At 36.0% G+C, this 21,877-nt stretch overlaps 1 long non-coding RNA gene across 1 annotated transcript in view; it reads right to left on the reverse strand.

Moving 5' to 3' along the window:
• Positions 1-21,877, reverse strand: part of LINC00971 (long intergenic non-protein coding RNA 971) — a 231,171-nt gene that overhangs the window by 98,233 nt on the left and 111,061 nt on the right. The window contains exon 11 of the long non-coding RNA NR_033860.1: positions 9,408-9,700. This is a non-coding gene — a long non-coding RNA (long intergenic non-protein coding RNA 971). The remainder of the gene's footprint in view (positions 1-9,407; positions 9,701-21,877) is intronic.

Raw genomic sequence — 21,877 nt, forward strand, 5'->3', positions numbered from 1 at the left:
TATTTACAGGTAAGTAGTGATAATGTCTCAAAAAGGATTTCCAAAGAAATGATTTCCAACTAAAAGATAAATATTAACCTAAAACACTATTCTCACATATGTGCCTTAGTATATATTTTTATTTTATTTAAATCTGATGAGTAACACAGGGCTTGTTTAATATTGCTTCTTTTACATTTTTTGGACTTGACTAAAGGTATATGTACAAGCCTTTTAAACATTTAAAAAATTACCCACATTCATGGACATTCAGCCTCCAGGTTTGTTATGGTATTGGTGATACTTTTTTTTTATTTTTTTTATTTTATTATTATACTTTAAGTTGTAGGGTACATGTGCACATTGTGCAGGTTAGTTACATATGTATACATGTGCCACACTGGTGCACTGCACCCACTAACTTGCAGTTGGTGATACTCTTTAGCTACAAACAAGGCAAGGATGATATTTCTAGATTTATCAAAGTTCATGATATTCTGGAAACCTGAATGAGACCTCTGGCAATTCACCTAAGTACGCTTCACCTTTCTTCGCTTCTGGTGGATTTCGTTGTAAGAAAAAATCAAATGGGTTAAGTCACAGGGAATATAGCTGATAGCCTCAGCAGGACAAAAATAGACATATGTCTCTATTAAGGATTATACATGTGCTTATGTATCACATAGGCTCTATCTTGCTCCACTTGGATAATTGCCCAAATTATATTTTCCTGACAGTTTGTACTAGATTAGTTACATGGTTAGGCATTAGATTGGATTATAAAATGCAATGGAAAGCTAGCATTAATTCCTTTCAAACTGTGTAAAAAACATTACAATGTTCACACAAGCCAATTATTCTATTTAAATAAGATGTTTTAAAATTGTCATTATTCAATCAGTCAAGCCCATATGATGCTTATTATGTTCAAGAGTCTGTTCTAAAGCCTTTAAAAATAACACATTTCCACTTCCCAACTACCCTCATAGACAGGTTTTATTGTTTTTATCATCCTCACTTTCCAGATGGAGTAACTTAGCTATAGGGAATTTAAGTTGCTTATCTAAGTCACAAAAATGGTAAGAAATGGAAATGAGATTCGAACCTGGGTAGTCTAGCTGTACATCTCAAGTATTTAACCCCACTGGTATACTAACAGTTTATGTATTTTAGAATCCAGACTATCTCATCTGAATGCTAGAATATTACAACCTGGATTTATTTCAATATATCTCTATTGTTCATCTTTCAGTGTATCCAGCTGTACTGCTCCTGGTAAAAGGTAGTTTAGTGAAAACTATTTATCTTAATTTGCTAGTCTCATGAGGAAGGAGACAGGGCAAGGCAAACAGGAGTTGTGAAAAGATGGTTTCTGTGCTCCCACAAATCTTAAGACTATTTTGTTCCTCTCTCCTCCAAGAACAAAAGCACATATTCTGCCGGGGTCAGGCTTGAGAAAGAAGCACTTAACGGGAACCTGCCCTAACAAAGGTGTAATAATCTTTTATTTGGTGTAAACGGCACTAAATGTGCCCTCAAATAAACTCATTTTCTTCATGCTGAGGCTCACAGATGGATGTTATTAACCATGTGTGCCATCTGGTAACTTCCTTTTTTAGCTAATCATTCTTGTTAAGTAGGTGCTAAGTCTTTACAATTATTATTTTCATGTTGTACCCTCTAAATTTGGGTGAACTGGGGCAGAGTACCAATTGTCCCTTTCTAATTATAGTTCTGTGGCCTGAATGTGAAACTCCAGGAACCAAAATCAGACAGTGAGTAAAGTATTGAGCAAGTTGAGCTCTAAATGTTCAAGCCTAAAACAACATCCAACTTTAAGTTTTATATAAAAAACAAGAGGAATTATGTTTACATCTCATGAATTACTGTGGTTACAGAAAATAGAAACCTAAAGTTTCAGTTGCTCAGGAATTTTCAGTCTACATAAGTATAAAACATTAGGACATTATTGTATGAAAGTGCATTTAGAGGACTTTTTTGACAAATTAAACCTCTTTATTAACTTCAGACGAATTATAAGGCATGACATATTGGAAGACACATATTTTGTGGTTCTGTGCTACATGAATTATACTGAACTACCTCATTGTTCATACTATTGGGATGATACACAATTAGGGTCCTTTTTATTTATTTATTTATTTTATCTTGCAAGAAACGACAACTACGTATATGAACAAAGAGGCAACATTTTACAAGCTACATAACACCTTGGCATTTAAAAACAACTCATTTATTTTATTATTTAATTTGTTCTTATATGTTCAGTTTTACATCTTTATACATTCTTAAACATTCAGTCACTGAAGAATAATATTAAGTATAATAAAAAAATACCTATAGTTCAGACATTTGTAAAAGTTGAAATTTATGTCCTTTATTGTTTTTGCTTTTTTTACATAACAGGATAGGTTAATTGGAAGTGGAAGAATAAAAACATTTCTTTTGTATTCCCTTTTATTTCTAATAACTCAGGTTTGAAATCCTGACAATAGCATAAGAGATGAGACTGGCTTAAATTTGTAAACTCTCTGCTTTAATGCTTGTTATCTAAATACGAAAGAGAGAAATGTATGGTTTGACTAAGGAATCAAATATTATTAAAGCATATATACCAGTACTATAGCCATTATATTTCACATGTTTTTTTATCATGCATGTATTACTCAGAGGAAGCTACCTGCTATAACAGGTATCCCTAAAATCTCATTTATATAGCACAGTAAAAGTTTATTTTTTATCTACATTCATCCAATCAGGTTTTATCAGGCAGCCTTTTATATTCAGGGATCAGGCACCAAGGGCTTCATCCAAGGACCTCAAAGTCCTTCACTGGATTCTTTGCCTTCAGCCATCTGATAAGCAATGAAAGATAAAATTAAGATCATTTCTGCCCACATTCTGTCAGATAAAATTTGTCATATGGCTCTTCCTAAATGCAAAGGTTGGAAACATGGTCTCTCTGTTTTCCCAGAAGTAAAATGTAATGAACTGGTGAAGACATAGCATGGTCTTACATTCTGAGAATCCCTATATTTATCAATAATTTGGGTATTTTGTCAGTTAATATCCAAATAATGAAGACAGCTTGTTAAATTCAGTTTTGGTTAAACAGCTTGCTAGCAATTAGCTTCTGATCCACATGATTTTAGTTTATTTTGGATGCAGCCTACTTAGTATTTCAAGTGGTATGAATTAGAATCCTCAACAGAGAGAATCTAATAACAATCTTCCAAGCTCTTCAGGAGTGCCGTTTCTATTTGTTCAACAAACTACCGATTTGCCTATGCCTGATTTAACAGTAGAAAATACCTTGCTCTGTCTTCAAATACATTCTGGGTTTTTAAGGGGATGGAATCAGAAAAATCAGTGGTTGGTATACATCTCATTTACCACATTGACTGCTAGTCCTGCAGCAAGCAAAGCAGTCTTTGAAAGTGCTGAATAATGTCACCCCTGTTCTGGATGAATACCACATGCCACGTTATCACCTCCTTATTAGTAATAATAAATTGAACCATCATGAATGAAGCATTCAAGATTTACAAACACTTAGAAATATGTTTTCTTTAAGATATGCATAACGTATAAATCAAGTTTAATTTTGTGCTTGTTCCTAGAAGCAGCATTGGAGCTCAAAAAGTCAGCTGCCTAATTCTTCTAGAAAAGAAATTAATTTTCAGAATATGTCTAGTAATTCAGAAATCAAACAGTTGTTAGTTATGGAAAGGGAAATCAAGAGCATTGCAAGAATCTAAGCATCTAAGCACAATAAACTTGAATTTGATGCAATGCACATGATTGTATGGATATCTAATTTTCACAGTGGAAGTTCATCAGATCTAAGTTGAACTATCAATATTTCTGAATTGAATGAAAATTAGCTAGCAATGAATTAATTGATATCTCCCACTGATAAGACTTCCATTGAATTACATGGGATATAAAGAAATACAGCTATTAAAATGAGGAAAAACAAAATTAACTATAAAGAGCTTCATAGTCTGATTGCAAACTGAATAGCAATATAGTGAATTATGAAAGGTCAAATGACTCATACATTCAATTACTGGCTAAAACACTGTATCTTAACTCTTGATGAAGGATGAAACCCATAGCCAAATCTCTTTATTTTTTTTCTTTTAAAAAATCCAAAATTAATAACAGTTAGAGCATGTTTTAGCAATCATGCTCCCCACACCACCAGACTCTATACAATTATTTTAGGATGTTTCAGTATGCACAAGTTGTTTTGATTGACCTGACCAGTCAAAGCAGTCCATTGATTTCTCTCAAAGCACATTCTTGACTACAGTTTCCTTAAATTCCTGCTGCTTCTACCATTTAGATTCAAGTACAAAGAAGAAATACGTAGGTAAAGGAAATAATTATAGTCTTATGTGGAATATATCACTTAATGAGTCACACACATCATTCCATTGATTTAACAAGAAATGAAGAGAATCCTAGACACCTGATTATCTATAGCACCAGAGTAGAATATCATACCCCCTTCCTGTCAACAAATTGAGTTCACCACATCCAGTATCTGACTGTGGTAAACATATAGTTCAATGTTTTCTTAATAGTGATCTGAATTATTTAACATCTTAGTTGGACGATGAACTAGAAAACATCTAGATATCTTTTGGGGTTTGCTATGTTTCTTTGACTTTCTTCTATCTCTCCCCCAGATCATCTCCTGGGGATAATTGTGAAACTATAACCTTAGTTATTGAGTACTGTGCTTATGATACAAATATCCCTTTAGGCTATTGAAGTATATGCAATCTCAAAAGAAAAATTAGCTCTTTTTAGAATAAAATTTTTATAGTTTTAAAACAGTCAGTACAAAAATCCCCTAAATCTGTATTGCTACAGATTTTCACAAATAGAAGCAGGATGCAAAAAAGCATCAAGTTTGAAAATTAAATTGTAAAATCTAATTTACATATAAGAAGTAGAAACAAAGGTTAAACATTTAGTTGTAATTTTAATCTGAAAAATACATATGAACAGCCTCCAGAACTCAGTAACACAAAAAAATTGAAAATAATTGAGTTGAGTTGGCCTTTAAGAGTACACATTAGGCAGTAACTTACATGATATGATTGAAGGCTCTAAAGCACATAGCCTGATCAAAAGTTCCTTGTCCCTGAAAGAACAGGTACTCCTACATATTTATTATTCTGAGTCTTCTGAGTTGCTTCATTAGGTACTTTTTCTAAGGGACTGGTTGCTGGATGTGGACATGATAAGATTCAGGAAAGAATAACAAAAATGGGCAGAAGAACACCAGAAACCATCTCCCAATTTGCATTATGACTATGTCCTAAATCTTATGCAGACAGACATTGTGGTTATCATTATGCCTTATAGTTTAAATTAAAATAATAAGAACATATTAAGATGGTTATGCTTTACATAATATGTACATTTAAAAGCATGGATCTTTTTTAGATACACCTCCTTTCCTTGTCCTGAAACATCTACAAGGACACCTGTCTGCCAAGACATAAGGTAAAATTGTTCTCTTACCTTTAGAATTTACTCAGAGTATGTATTTGGTATTTCTTTAATATAAATCCTCTTCCAAGTGATCCATTTCTGGTAATAATATACTAGTAGCAGTAGTAGGAACAATAATAAATAATACTTGAGTGCTTTCTCTTACAAGGGCTTATGAAGTAATACTGCTGTATCTGTATTCAACAAATGTTTTTCACTGACCAGAGCTATATAAGGTTGTAAATCAAAATAAACCTCTTAAAAAGACTTCCTTTTGTTCAGCCATTCCCTTGGAAAACATCACCTGGGTAATCTACAGAGGAACTGGGACCATTAAAGACTATTGATTAGTTTAACTTTGTTTATAGTCAACAAGGAGGTTGATTGACTTCTGAAACACACAGGTTAATGACTGTCTGTGAAATCCCTGATACCTAATGTCACAATATTATCCGGTAAATTAACATTTGAAAAGTTTGGATTCTTGAGTTAGTTGTCAAAGAAATTATTATAGTATCTGTTAAAAATGCTTATAGTTTTATTTGTGACCACTCATTTCATTATTAGTCTATCCCCATGAAGAGCCACTAAGAATTCTATCAATACAAAGTCAACTTGTATTGAATTACTACAAGGAACAGCGAGTAAAATTTTTTATAAGCAGAAATTCAATATTCATGCAAAACAACTTAGCCTTTGCTGCCAGGAGCCTTTCCACAGCAAAACGAAGGACCATGGTTACTTGAAGATTGTACAGAGACTGTCTTCAGTCCTTTGAAATTAAATCACTAAGTGAGCTTCCATGTATTAATATAGGGTCACTGTGGCAAGAGGAAGAAATGCACACCTTCTTGTGGCAATCGAATAACTGCAATAATTTTATGTCACTAAGCTGACTCACATACAGAAAAGGTGGTATGAACTTGTCAATGGTAGTCTAAACTCATCAGCAGACAAATGCACTGACAGTTTGATTGTTGAAGGAGTATATTCACGGCTCTCACATCTTTGCAAATGGAAAAATGATAGTGAGATTAAAATTGAAAAAAATCTCTGGCCCAGAGTCCTGTGTGATAGCAGTAAAACATGTTAATTTCTTGACAAGCTGAAAATGTAAGATAGAAACTTCACTTGCAGTTGAATCTGGAACTGTTTCAAAACTGGAGAAGGAACTCAAATTTATAAATACTTTCAGAAATGTCTGCTTACTCACACTGTTTCAAGACAGTTTTCTCAAGGTAATGAAAAGATCAAAGTGATATACATCTACATTTTTTGTTAAAAAGCAATAGACAAATTTTTTAATGAAAATATATTTTTTCAAAAGAGGTCCAAAAATCTCCATTATAAAAATATTTTTATCACAATGAAGAGCTACATATTTTTCAGTGTCTTGATTACTAAAATAAAAAAATAGACTTTCAGATTTGACTTATTTAAGTAGTCATGGAAATAAGGTTAGGAAATCTAGTTAGGATGCTGACCTAAAGATAGAAATTCTATTATTCTTATGGTAAGTATACTTGTGTGAGAGCTACATACCTCAAAAATCATTGGGAATTGCAAAAAGTAAGTTTCATTAATTTTTTCAGAGTCTGGCAAAAAGAAAGTCAAGTGTTAAAAATAAAAAGTGATAAAGAAACAGGATGCATGAGCTTCATCCACTAAAGCCATAATAATTGAATCATTCTGCCCCCCTTCTTCCATTGAGATTATAATGGCTCCATACTAGGTAAGCAAGTGAGACTAATAACAGCATCCATCCTCATAAGCATGCCATTAAAGCAGAAGAGGATAGCAGGAGCAACAGGAGAAACAACACTATGCGTAAATCACTCTGACCTAGAAGACTGAAGCAAACGTAAAAAGAAACCGTGAAAACACAACTAGCAGCTAGTTGTGTTCTGACACAACTAGTGTCAGAAGATGTACTAGGGTGGGTTAGCTATAAGTAGTACATGCAGAAAGGCATGGCTCCTAATGCAATGTAATACATCCAGGAAAGATTTCAAAGGAAAAAAAAAAAAGATATTAGTCATCAGTAAAAAACATTGCTTGGAAAAAAAAAAAAAAAAAAAACAGCCCTCATTAAAGTATTTGCTTGTAAGACCTAATAGCTCAAAGAAGCTACAAGAGTTCATTTTCATCTAGATGATGCTATGACACAACTGATCATAAGCAGGTGACTTTGTATTGCATTTTTGCTTTACCAGCAAAATTGGACTAATCAGCACCCTTCAGTATTCAGTAATATTGATGATGTTAAAATCTTAGGTTTTAGTAACTATGAAGTAATTATGTTACTGCAGGACTACAGATTGTACCCATAACCCTATGTAGCTCCTCGATCCTGTTCTAAACATTATTTATTTTAATTTTAATTTTAATTTTAATTTTTATCTTTGAGATGGAGTCTCGGTCTGTGGCCCAGGCTGGAGTGCAGTGGCGCGATCTTGGCTCACTGCAACCTCCGCCTCCCGGATTCAAGTGATTCTCCTGCCTCAGCCGCCCGAGTAGCTGGGATTACAGGCGTGCAACACCACACCCGGCTAATTTTGTATTTTCAATAGAGACAGGATTTCACCATGTTGGCCAGGCTGTTCTCAAACTTCGGACCTCAGGTGATCCGTCCGCCTTGGCTCCCCAAAGTGCTGGGATTATAGGCGTATTGATTTTTCTCTTGGAACGTTTTTATTTTCTCAATGTTGATATTGGTATGACAACCTGGTAGAATAAGTAGAAAAATCAACACCTCAAATAACTTCTTAACATTCAAAACAACACAATTAATTTTCTGAAGTTTAATATTTGAAGGTAATTATAAATTGCTACTATGAAAAAGATGTAGCAAAGAACTGATGCTTGGTTTTTGATGGTTTGGGGCAGGGATCAGCAAACTTTTCCTCTAAAGGGCCAGACAGTAATTTTCAGTTTAGTGGGACATATGGTCTCTGCCACAACTACTTGGCTCTGCCACTGAAGTGTGAAAGCAGCGACAGACCATAGGTAAATGAATGAACATGGCTGTTTTCCAATAAGAGTTTATGTATAAAAACCAGCAGTGAGCTGGTTTTGACCCATGGGCCATAATTCATCCATCAGTGGTTTAAAAAAAGGTGAAAGTAAAATAATACCTTAACTGTAATTTTGGAATCAAATTTATACACGGAGATTTTTCCTCCACATCATATGCTGCCTTTCCTCTAAAATTAACATTGTAGGTAACAGTATTCTGGCTGAAATATTCTTAAATCCATTATTACTTTTAAAATTTTTTCTTAATTAGAACATACATTTATTCCCCAAAACTCAAAAACTCATTTTATTAAAATATGAGGTTGTGAAGTGAAAAAAATACGCAAAGACTAAAGTGTTTAGGAATTAAACATACAGTATAAGTTGTATACTATTGTTCAGTTGTATCTAGACATGTTTATTACCAAGCTGGAAGCCGCTTAGGTTGACGATATTATACTTACAAATGTCACCACAGGTATAGTTGTTCACCAAACATGTGCTAGTTATTTAAACCCTTTCTGGCTCTATGCACAAGCTCATGTCGTCACGCTGTTGTTTAGGTCACATTATCAAGAAATATATGTCTAGCAGCCACTTTCTCAGATCAGAAACTGTAATTTACTTAGTAATTTATGACTTTAAATAAAAGAATCACTGATTCAGAATAATAATAATTTGTCTTAAACTTTGGTTTGTGGATTTACCAGCCTAGCAATAATATTTATTTTTATTTCTATTTATTTTTAAGGGAAGGACCCTTCACTATTTTGAGAAGCAGAATACTTCACTGTGTGTCAGAATTTTCTGGTGCTCCACAGTAAATAAAAAATTGTCATTCAATTAATAAAATGTGTAAAGAAGCATACAATTGTAAAAGTTACCACATAATGTGGGATTCCCTTGATTTCTTCTACTGCTCTCCTGCAGAATTTAGAATGATGAGCCCCTTATTTTCTTCACATCACTTTTGGAGACTTTTGTTGGTATTTTGTCCTCTGTACCATTTTTCCTGGTTATTCATTCTCAGCATTTAAAGTTGGATAGGAAATGCTTTCCTCCTCTAACTTCTGGTGATGCAGTTCTGTCCATATGCATCACTGTTACTTTTCTTTATGGTGTTTGTAGGTAATGGAAGCAATTTTGTAAATGTATCTCTTATATTAAGAATCCCCTCCTGAAAGGAAAAAATTTAGTCCTGTAATTCTTAGACTCTTCTGATAGCTCAGACTAGTGTGGTTAGAAAGCACTAGGGTGCTATACAGTGCCAAAAACATCTTTTTAAATACAATTTTCTTGTATATATTTATGTAGAAAAACATAACGGTGAACATACATAGAATGCATACATCCTAAACAAGTTAATTTTATTTCAAATTTTGTTTGCCACCAAATTCTATAGTAAAATTGAAAATATATTTAATTCAGTTGATCTGAATTGAAAAGAAATTGTTATAATGATATCTTGAATGATAAAACAGGCATTAAGTTATATTGCAATGTTACACTAACAGGGAATTTGAACACCAACTTAGCAGTTTAATTTTTACTTCACAACATTTTTATAGTCTATATACTGTGGTTTGTCCCTGTATCTTATTTGCCATCAAAATTTCCTTTTAAACTATAAAATTTTCTCAGACTTGCAAAACTCTTGATTCTTCTATGAATTATCATAAAGTTGAATGCCCTCATTCATTTCTTGTTTGGGTATTAGCAGTACCTGGAGAAGATAAGTCAATAGATAAACATCCTCATATTAACCCAGAAGATAGTCATAGTTTTAAGAAAAATGAAATACAAAAAATTAGCCGGGCGCGGTGGCGGGCGCCTGTAGTCCCAGCTACTGGGGAGGCTGAGGCAGGAGAATGGCGTGAACCCGGGAAGCGGAGCTTGCAGTGAGCCGAGATTGCGCCACTGCAGTCCGCAGTCCGGCCTGGGCGACAGAGCGAGACTCCGTCTCAAAAAAAAAAAAAAAAAAAAAAAAAAATTAAAAAGAAAAATGAAAATCATGTCACAAAAATCATATATTCAAACTAATTACATAAGATATACATAAGGTCAGAAGTTTATTTTATGTGAAAAGAGCTTTAAAAAAACTGTTTAACTGAATACTTTAGTAACATGGAAAAATCTCTCTGCTTGCTATAAGATCTGGATATTGCAGAAATAAAAATATGTGCTTCTCAGGATGAACTGTTTATCCTAAAACAGCAGAATATTTCTATAGTATTTTGATATTTAATAAAAATTAAAGTAGGATGATACACACATTAGAGACTAAGAATTTAATTCTAATTCACAAAACAAAAAGTATCCAAGACAGCAATAATTATGGGACTCAAACACAGAGTAAAATATTTAGGTTTTAGCATTTCACATGCTACCTTTGATCTTGTGGTCATATTAATTGCATTATCCTGTTTGTGTATGAGAATATATTCCATTGCTTTCAATTAATTTCAGTCAAACTATTCAAATTAAAGAACATTTTGCTTCTATTAGTATAAAAGCAACTTTGATTAATGCATTAAACTTTCCCATAGTGTCAGATATGTGATCAGTTCAAATAATATTACCTACAGATATTTATTTAAAAATATTTCACAGTTAACTTGAATTTATTGATATTTTCCCTGACTCTGATAGAGCTGAGAAATTATAGAATCCCAATAATAACGGTGTTAATTTAGATACTAGGCAGAAGTTTTTATCCAAAAGAACTCTATTGATAATGTATTTGCAAAATTCTCTAGTTAAAAGCATGGCTTGATTTGCACTTTACAACAAAGATAAACCCATGATAAATAATATTTGTTCATTATTATGCTTAACCAAAAATAATTAACAAAGACCTCATGCTTAAAAAGAATTGGTGGTGAGATTGTAACTAACAAAGAAACTCCATGAACCCCAGCAGCAAATGCTTAAGAAGGACATATGGAATAATTTCAAACATTATATCAGACATTATAACAAATAAATAAATGTGAATTTGACCTTAATGTTCCTAAGTCAATGATTAATACAATTATGTTGAATAATTTTATTTGTTATTTAAATATACTGATTTCTTACAATCTTTTATGGAAAAAGGTATTTTGGAAAAACAAGGTATCTAGATTTATAGCTATAAGATACATTTATTCATTTATCAACAAAAACATGCTTATGCAACAGCAGTTCTCCAGGTTTTTTCATATATTGTAGAGGTAAATATTGAGAATAAACACATACACAAACACACAGATACACAAACATACACAGTGGGTGCTCAACAGCTTATCACACACCAGAGGAAAAAAGATGTTAATAGATGAATATACTTATAATAAGTGCTACAATAGAATAAATTTGACTCAAAATGCAGCCTTAAAGTTTCTCTTCATGTCAGTACAATGTGATTTTACTTGGTTTATGTATTTTTTAAAAAATAAACCAATGAAAAGCTTAGGTAATTATACTTATCATTTCAAAATTTGACTGTTTAAAGTACTTTATTTAAACTTTATATATACATCAATACACTGCATCCATAGATTTCTTCTATTATCCAAAATAATGTGATTTTTTAACATGTTTAACTATCTGGTTTTTCTTTCTCATGTGTACCAAATTCAGAGAGAAACAGATAATAAGTGGGAAGTGTCAGGGTAATAGAGAAGGAACTTAGATGTAGTCCTAGGACTAAGTCAAATACCCAAATACATACATACATACACCACACACACACACACACACACACACTGTCTCTCTCTCTCTCTCTCTCTCTCATATGCATATATCATATAGATGTATATGTTTTAAAGCCTTGTCTTTGAATAAAAGAAATTGCTTTGCATATATGTTTAAACTTGAACAAGTATTTTAAAATGGATTAAAAGTGAGAATAAATGAGTAAATATTCAACAAAATAAAAATAGTATATGCAATCAAATATAGTATGTGTTTCAGACAGTGGGTCTGAGTTTGTTGAAGGAGAAATTTTAGAATCAGTCAAAATATAAAAGATTTGAAAAATTATAAAACTTATCCATGTGAATTCTCTGTGTGACATGACTAAAACTAAACCTTATAAAAGATTATGTTGCTAGCACTGTCAAAGTTAGATTGGAATCATGAGCAATACTGAAACCAGGAAAACATCCCAAGATACCATACTCTAATTGGAAGAACAAAATATGAAGTCAAAAAGAAGCCATGAGAATGGAGAAGGAGGCTTGATATATGACAGTTTTGTGGGTACATTGCCGAAGTTTTTGGTGAACATGTGGCCATATATTCAAGTCCATAGATGTAAAAACTAAACATTTTCTTGGGGTTTTTGGTATTTTGTTTTATTTTTTGGAGATGGGGTCCCATTCTGGTGCCCAGGCTGGAATGCAGTCACGAGATCACAGCTCGCTGCAGCCAGGCACATACACACATTAGCTGTTTGGTAGCACCCAGCTATTGTGTGTGTGTGTGTGTGTGTGTGTGTGTGTGTGTGTAGAGGTGAGGTCTCTTGTTGAGAGGGCCTACAAAATGGCCAGGCACAGTGGCTCACGCCCATAATTCGACCATTTTGAGAGGCTGACCTCCCAAAGTGCTGGAATTACAGGTGTGAACTACTGTCCCTGGCCATTTTCTTGTTTTTAAACAAATCATTTGACTCATTTCAATATCTAATGTAAACTTTTAATTCATGGGTGATCACCCTAGGCACTATTGACATATTGGACTACATGCCAATAGTTCCTTCTGATTTGTGACTACCAAAAATTGCAGGCATTATACAATGTCCTTTTGGGTGCAAAGTTTGCACCAGTTATGAATCTTTTCTATATATTAAACATTTACCTTTTTAGAAAAAAATTCAATACTTAAGCTATACATTATCTTTGTCTACAATAATTAATTACATAACAAACACTCTCAAATGTTTAGTGGCTTACAACAACAAATATTTACTTTCATCACTCAGAACCAGAGTGTCAGATGGTATTTGGCTGATCTTGGCTGGGCTTGGCTGGATTTAGTCAGCATAGCTTTGGGCTACAGCTCAAGTTCAAGTATTTTTCATGTGTTTCATGTGGGGCTTAGGTTAAAGGGACAGTGACTGCTGAGGTATGCTATTCTGATGGTGATATCAAAAGCCCAATGAGGAAGCCCAAACAGGTATGTACATTTCAAGCCTCCACTTGCATTGAGTGCTGTAACATCTAGTTGACCAAAATCAAATAGTATAGTGAAGGCCTAGGCAAGGACAGAAAGTTATTCTGCCTACCATGTGTCTAAGGCAAGAATGTGAAATAAACAATTGAAACCAACTATTTATTATATCTACCACATACTCAAATGATATCTAGAACATAGTCTGTAGATTTAGATCTATTAATTTACTTACTTTTACTTTTTTTTTCTTTTCTTTTTTTTTTTTTTGAGAAAGAGTCTTGCCCTGTGGCCCAGGCTGGAGTGCAGTGGCGTGATCTCAGCTCACTGCAACCTCCACCACCCAGGTTCAAGGGATTCTCCTGCCTCAGCCTCCTGAGTGGCTGGGATTACAGGCATGTGCCACCACACCTGGCTAATTTTTGTATTTTTAGTAGAGATGGGGTTTCATCACGCTGATCAGGCTGGCCTCAAACTCCAGACCTCGTGATCTGCCGGCCTCAGTCTCCCAAAGTGCCAGGATTACAGACATGAGTGACCACACCCGGCTACTTACTTTTATACTGATGCTGATTGTACAACTTGTCACTTATCTGAGAACCACTATAAGAATATAAGCAGAATTTTCAATAGAAACTTTGCAGCATAGAAAAGTGGGAAGATATTTTCAAAGTGCTGAGGGGAGGCGGGGGAGAACTGACAACCAAGAATACTATGCCTGGCAAAACTGTTCTTCAAAAGTCAAGAGATATAGCTCAATAGCTGTTCTAATTGCCTCCTCGTACACCTTCCTGTACCACAACATCTAGCAAGATAATAAATGGAATTGGGACATTTTGTTACTGACATGAATATAGTAGATTGACTAGTACCAACTATTCAAGGTCAGGCACTGCAGAAGCAAAGCTAGTGTCAGGGTTTCAGGTGGATAAGATTGAGGGAGCTCTCATCAGGAAAACCTGCGAATGTGGGCAGCCAAATAGGAAAGAGGAAGGAGCTGGGCAAGAGTGTAGTCTCACATAGATTCTATCCTTGATCTGATTCATGAGCATGCTCTGGAGCATAAATCACATTGCAGAGTCATCCCTCTTAAGCAAAGCAAATAGACCACAGAGCCCCCTTATTAAGCCATAAGTGCAATGGACGGGAAATGTAACATCCATCCCGGGTATAAGCTGTTAACATAGCCCCTCCCAACTAGAAGGTAGGTGTATACCACCTAGTAAATTGGATATGGACAGGGCATCGAAAGCACCCACTATAATTGCTTTATATAGTAAATTATAACTACATTTATACTTTCATTTACATTTCGAAGGACCCTCCTGATCAGTTAAAATATGCTTACTATGCCTACTTTTCCCTAATGCTTTTTCTCTGTAAATTGTTTTTTATCTAAGTCACAACTCTGCTTATCCTACTCTTTCAATTGCCCCAAACTTTTCTTCACCCACTGGTATTAACCCAAGTTATATATGTTGAATTATACAGCTGCTTACCCTCCAGCTGCTTCCCTTGTTGAAGTAAATAGAGTCTGGCCCTAAGTTGGGTTTCTGTCTCATCTAGTATTTATCCTGGGGTCTATTTAAATTTCTGTTTTCTACCTTAGCTTTGGGACTATTCCTTGTTCTTCTTTTTCTTTCCCTGAACATCAGTGGCACGTTTCCCACTGGCTACCATTCTGACCCCTGCTCCCTACTCCTTATCTATAAGTTATCCTTACAAATATCATGTAATATAATTGCTTTCTCTGACTCTAAGTTAAACCATGCACGCTGTCTGCTAACCCATTTTAACCAGGAGGCACACACAGGCAGGAGAATAAGTAAAACAAGTGTTCTTCATAGCTTGCCCTTCATAAATTGCTATTCCTCTGGGGAGGGGGCTAGCGTATGATTGAATTATCTTCCTTGCAGAAGCACAATGTGCATATGTTGTACCAGTACACCCCAAGTTTTTAGGAACCAAATGAACTGCTAAGATTTACATATTAAATTTCAACTGAGAGACAATCTGCATGAAGGAAAACTCATTTTAAATGACAAATGGTAATAATAAAGATGGAAAGGAAATAAAAGATAACTAGTTTACTTTTGTTTGGGTCTTATTTTGGCTCATTTGCTGGGACAAATGTTTTCATCAAAATATTTCTTTGTATTGCACTTTATTTAAGTCACTTATAATCTTACTTAGTATAGTTGACCATAATGAAAAAGGAATCCAGTGTTCCTTAATGTTATTTAAATTGTATAATATCAGACATTGTTGTTAAATATTATAATTAAACTGTGTAATCAATTGAGTATCCATTTTTATCCAAATAATTTGCCTTTTTATTTTAATAACACAAAGCTGCCGGAAACATATTGATCTCTTCATCCATTTTTCATTGCTAATTCTCCGTCTCTGCTCTTTCTTTCTCTAATCGTGGATTTAATGCCATATCATGGCTATGAAAATAGCCACTAGGAAATAAACTGTGGAATAAATGTCTTTTGTGCCACAAGTATCTGGGATATTTTTATAAGCACTTGTCAAAACCATATCTGTAAATATTAAATACAATAAAATCCTCAAGAGGATAAAATACCTCCAGTAATGTAAAACAGTATTATTGCCCCAAACAAACAGGCAAAATGAAAAGGAGATTTTTTTCCACAACCTCTGTTGCTGCTAAAAGAAAAAAAATTAAACTTGAATAACATGGGTCAAAACAAATTCTAACTACTACTAAATCAAAAGAAAATATTTCCAAACTACTGAGAACTTTTACATGCAGAAGCAGTTCAGATCAGCCATATAATTTTAATGATTAGTATTTCTGAGGCAAGTAGGTAATTTATTCAAAGGAATATAACACATGTGATTCAATCCTACTAGAGAAAGCTTTCCCAATTCCCTGAGAATCATTAAGGATCTGGGAAGATACTATCTCAAATTTCATAGCTTGTTCTATGAGAATCTTTCTCAACCTTGGGTTACTAGAAATGTTATCCACTGCTTTATGGAGGAGAGGATCGATATTAAATAAAAATCAAAAGGTGGAGGATACATAATAAGTATAAAGACTTAGGTTGAAAATGAAGTTTTAGAGAAAAACAACCATTATTAGTTTTATTGTCCCTAGAGAAAAGCCAAAATGAAAGCCATCATGGACTGGTCAAACAGGGATTACTAATCAAGGAAATAAGAAAAGCATGAAAGTTTAAAAGTGATAAGCCTTTACTAGGAAAACCACCATTCATTGTCCCCATCATGGAACCACCAGAAGACAAATTAGTGCTCAGTTATCATCCTGGACCACCAGTTGAATGCAATCAGCACATGTCCAGTTCAACAGCTGGTAGGAACAGGGATGAATCTGTTTTTGTGAGTTCTTGCATATATACAATATTGTCCACTTAAAAAAAAAAAGAAAGAAAAGGAGTATGTAAAGATATCACTAGGGCCTCTCTGAGCAATCTTAAGGGGCTCATGCTAGGGAGCATCCCCAACAAGGCAAGTAAGTTCCATTAACTTTATGGTAAATCCACCTCTGAGCTGGAGTAATACGCCTCTCTTCCTCCAGACTGTGCCTATGTCCCACCCCAACATTACATTCTCATCAGGAATCTAGGACTCACATAGATTTGCTGTCCACCATCAGCAAAATAGGGAGCAATGGAACCTGAGAACAGTGATGGTGGTGAGAAGGAAACTGCACCTATGGAATAGGCTTAATAGAATCCAATTTAAAATTTAAATGAGTCTGCAAAGGCAGTAACTATAGTGCTCACTCTAATTCTCGGCTTCTTTTTCAAATGTTGTCCCCTCTCCTCCTTCCATTCTCTCTCAGCAAATGACCTCAATATGTAATTAATGGAGTATAGGTAATTCATAAAATAGACCTTTCAATTTATGTCACAAACTCACGTGTTACTCTGCATTTCTGCCTACTCTTACCTCTTTCTCCTCATTTATAATGAAAACAGTGTTCTTTTTCATTTTTTTTCTTTTTTCTTTTTTTTTTTTTTTTTTTTGAGACGGAGTCTCACTCTGTCACCCAGGCTACAGTTCAGTGGTGTGATCTCAGCTCACTGCAAGCTCCGCCTCTGGAGTTCACACCATTCTCTTGCCTCAGCCTCCAGAGTAGCTGGGAATACAGATGCCGGCCACCGCACCCAGCTAATAATTTGTATTTGTAGTAGAGACAGTGTTTCACCATGGTCTCGATCTCCTGACCTCGTGATCCGCCTGCCTCGGCCTCCCAAAGTGCTGGGATTACAGGCGTGAGCCACCATGCCCGCCTCTTCTTCCTTTTTAAGATTAACTCTTTTTAAGATACGGACCTGTGTCTCTCTCTTCTTCTGTAATATCAGCCTGCTAAAAAAGGTTATATATACTCACTGACTCCACTTTTTCACAGCCCATTCAATCCTCAACTTACTTCAATCTGGATATAGTCCCCACAGCTTCACCAAATAACTCTCTCCATGGTACCAATTCTTGCTGATAACCCATGGACCATCAGTACTTATTTTATCTGACATCACCATTAATTACCTCCTTTTCTTAGAATATTTTCCTCCTTTCTAGCCACTCTGTCACAGTATATTATTTAATTTATCTTTTAAATATTGTATTATTTAAGTTTCTGTCTTAAGCCCATTTTATTTCACTCTAATCATGCTTCCTAGGCTACCTCATACTAATCATTGTTTCAAGAGCCATCTACATGTTTGTCATTGATGTCTCCAAAACCAGAATCGCCAACATAGAACTGATTCGAGGTTGAAATATGACCCACATATCATATGTATGTTAAATGTATTTATTTGACTCTGACAATGACACTTCAGACTCCGCATGTCCAAAAACAAATGCTTCATCTTTAGTTTCAAATACGTTCTGCACTCTTCCTGCTGGAAGAATGACAACAAATTTCCACCCAATAATCAAAGAAAGGAACCTCCACATTATCCCTGACTCCTTCCTTTCCCATATTCCATATACTCACTTGATTACCAATTCCCTGGATTCTACCTCCTAATACACCTTATTTCTAATTACTTATCTGTATCTAGACTTCAAATTCCAATAATTCATACACCATATATCTCTCACTTGGATAACTGCAACTATTTCTAACTCCTTGCTTCCTTCTCCAAATTTATCCATACTCTAATCCATTCTCCATACACTAGACTGAATTATATTGCTAACACAAAAAACCTGATAAAATGTTTATCCATAACTAAAATTTATCAATGACTTCTAATGCCTTCATGTGTAATTCTAAATGTCTTAATTTGGTCTGCAAGGTCCTTCATTAACTGCCTTCTGCCAACATCTCTAGTAATAGTGAACTTTCTCTACTTTCAGAAAAGTTAATATTTTCCTTGACTCTAAACTTCCAACTTTTCTGAAATATCCTTCACAAATCCTCTTAGATTATGTGTGTTTTCACCTGAAGAGTTCCAATCCCTTACACATCAATTTGGAATCTACGAAAAAGTTTGCCCTTCTTGATTTTTGAAATATTTTCCAATGTGCTCCCTACAGAAAACTGTACGTTCCTCATGAAAGCGCTTTCACAATGTCACGGGATCTTTAGGGTGTTGCTTCACCAGCCAGAAACTTCTGTGGTCGGTGACGCCTTCTGCTTGAGTATTGCTCGCACCTGCTGGGCTCATTCCACCCACTCGGCCTGGCAGGCTGCACTCGGCTCATGCTACTAGCTTGTGTTGGTGGCCCACACCTGCCAAGGGTGAGCCAGGTGCCCACAGAGCAGCGAGCAGTGTGGGGTCAAGCGAGCATAGGGTCTGGCCACTGCACACAGCCAGGCATGGCAGCTGCTGTGGCAGGGTGGGTAGCTCCAGGCACCAGCACAGGTGTTGGTTCCATGTGAGGCTGTAACTGGACAAGACGTACCATACGCGGCTTCCACTGTGGGCATCCATGTCTAGATGAGGGGAACACGGTGTTGCCGAGAAACTTGGAGACACCAGGAACCGCAGAGATCCAAATAGAATGTTACAGCTCTGGCTCAGGGAGCCCCTAGGTCTGGGCTCCCTGAAGGGTGGCAGCTCTTCCCTCCTATTGTCTCCCACAACGTGGTGAGTGGGGGTGTGTTTCAGTCCTGTTTGTGTTACAGCTCTTTTAGTCCCACCATTCAATGTGTCCCGAGTTTTTGTCCTGCATTCAGGAAGAATGAGGTACACAGACAACAGGAGAATGAGCAAGGTAGAGAGGAGCTACACTGAGTGGTAGAACAGTTTTTGGGAGACCTGAAGTGGGTAGCTCCTTTCCACAGGCAGGTCATCCAGATGAGTGCCCAGCACTCAGTGGAGAGGAAACCCACAGTGGGTAGCTCCTACCTGCAGGCAGGTCATCCCAATGTCTTTCTGCAGGCAGATCATCCATCAAATCTGCTGCCAACAACAGAGAGGAGACCAAGAGTGGGTAGCTCCTACCTGCAGGCAGGTCATCCCAACGTCTCTGCAACCCTCATCGGAGAGGAGACCAGAATGGGTAGCCCCTAGCCACAGGCAGCTCATACTGTCATCTGCCTGAGTCTGGCTGAGACTGGGTGTTTTGTAGACTTCAGAGAGAATAAAGTGCATTCTGATTGGTCCATGTGCAGGCCTGGACAAAGCACCATAAGTTCTCACACCAGTCTGTGGAACTGGCAGCCCAGGCCCCAGGCTTAAGGCTGTCCCTGGCTTGAAGGTGGGGATTCACTGGAGACCCACCCTTTTCTACCCAGGAGCCTATCTGCCTCCTACCATCCCTATATGTCATCCATAGTGCCCAGGCTGTTCAAGCCAAGGGGGCACCTGCAGGCCCACATCGAGCTGCTCTCAGAGCCCCCTGACCTCCCTCCCATGCTCATTGGTGCCCAAAGTTTGGAGGGAACTGAGGCAGTAGGGGGCTGGTGTGTCAGTGCCACCCTGAGTGTGCACATACCTGGCCAGGTAATGATGATTCCCAGGCTTAGCCACAACTTTGCTCCAAAATTGGAGCAGGTGCCAAGAACAGCCAGAGGCCATCCAGTGGGAGCAGGCACTTCTGAGCCTGCAGATGAACAGGGGGCTTCCTGAGCCCCAAGATACAGGTATGCCCAGGTCTGCAGCTGTGGCTGGGCGGCTACTGCTGCACCCAGGGGGGCAGGGCTCTCACCCCTTCAACTAGGAAGCAGGCAGGGCTACCACCAGTTCCCTGCTACCACCAGCTTCATGGAGCACACAGCCCCAGCTGTGCCTCCCTCCCTGCAGCCAGTGTCATAGCAGTGGCCACTCCAGATGGGCTGCTGCTGCCATCAACACTATATTTATTTACCTAGCAGTCTATATCCACTATTAGAATGTTTGTAGGACCAATATCTGTCTTATTTACCATTTCTTGGAACCAATTATAGCAAGTAGAGGGTAATTGAGAAAACACGTATGGGACAGAAAAGTTATCTATAAAGACAAAATAGTACTCTGAAATGTCCAACAAAACAAAATGAACTTCAAAAAGCACAATTTAGTTATTATTCCAGACATACATAGATAAATGTGGGTCTGGTTAAAACTAAAATTTTCTATTTCAATTGAAACACATAGAAGCAATCTAAAATAACATTAGTATTTATCACGAGCTTTGGAATTGCAAGTAAAAAAATAACATGGGGATATGCATGGTACCACCTGTTTGCAGTCCTAGCTACTCAGGAGGTTGTGGTTGATTGCTTTGTTGAGCCCAAGAGTTCAAGATTATAGTGAACTATGATGGCACCACTACTCTTTAGCCTGAGTGACAAAGCAAGATGCTCTCTCAAATACATAAATTCATTAAATAATAACATGAGCACAGGTTACTAATGACCTGCTCCATCTCAGAATTCCATGGAAATACAAATAAAAAAGAAAAAAATTAAAGAAAAATTTTTATTGATGTTAGAAATAAAGTGAAAATATACTGTCTCTAATAAATACATAAATTCATTAACTAATAACATGAGCACAGGTTACTAATGACCTGTTCCATCTCAGAATTCCATGGAAATACAAATAAAAAAGAAAAAAATTAAAGAAAAATTTTTATTGATGTTAGAAATAAAGTGAAAATATACTGTCTCTAATAAATACATAAATTCATTAAATAATAACATGAGCACAGGTTACTAATGACCTGTTCCATCTCAGAATTCCATGGAAATACAAATAAAAAAGAAAAAAAT

This window comes from Homo sapiens, chromosome 3 (genome assembly GCF_000001405.40).
Source record: "Homo sapiens chromosome 3, GRCh38.p14 Primary Assembly".
NCBI lineage: Eukaryota > Metazoa > Chordata > Mammalia > Primates > Hominidae > Homo > Homo sapiens.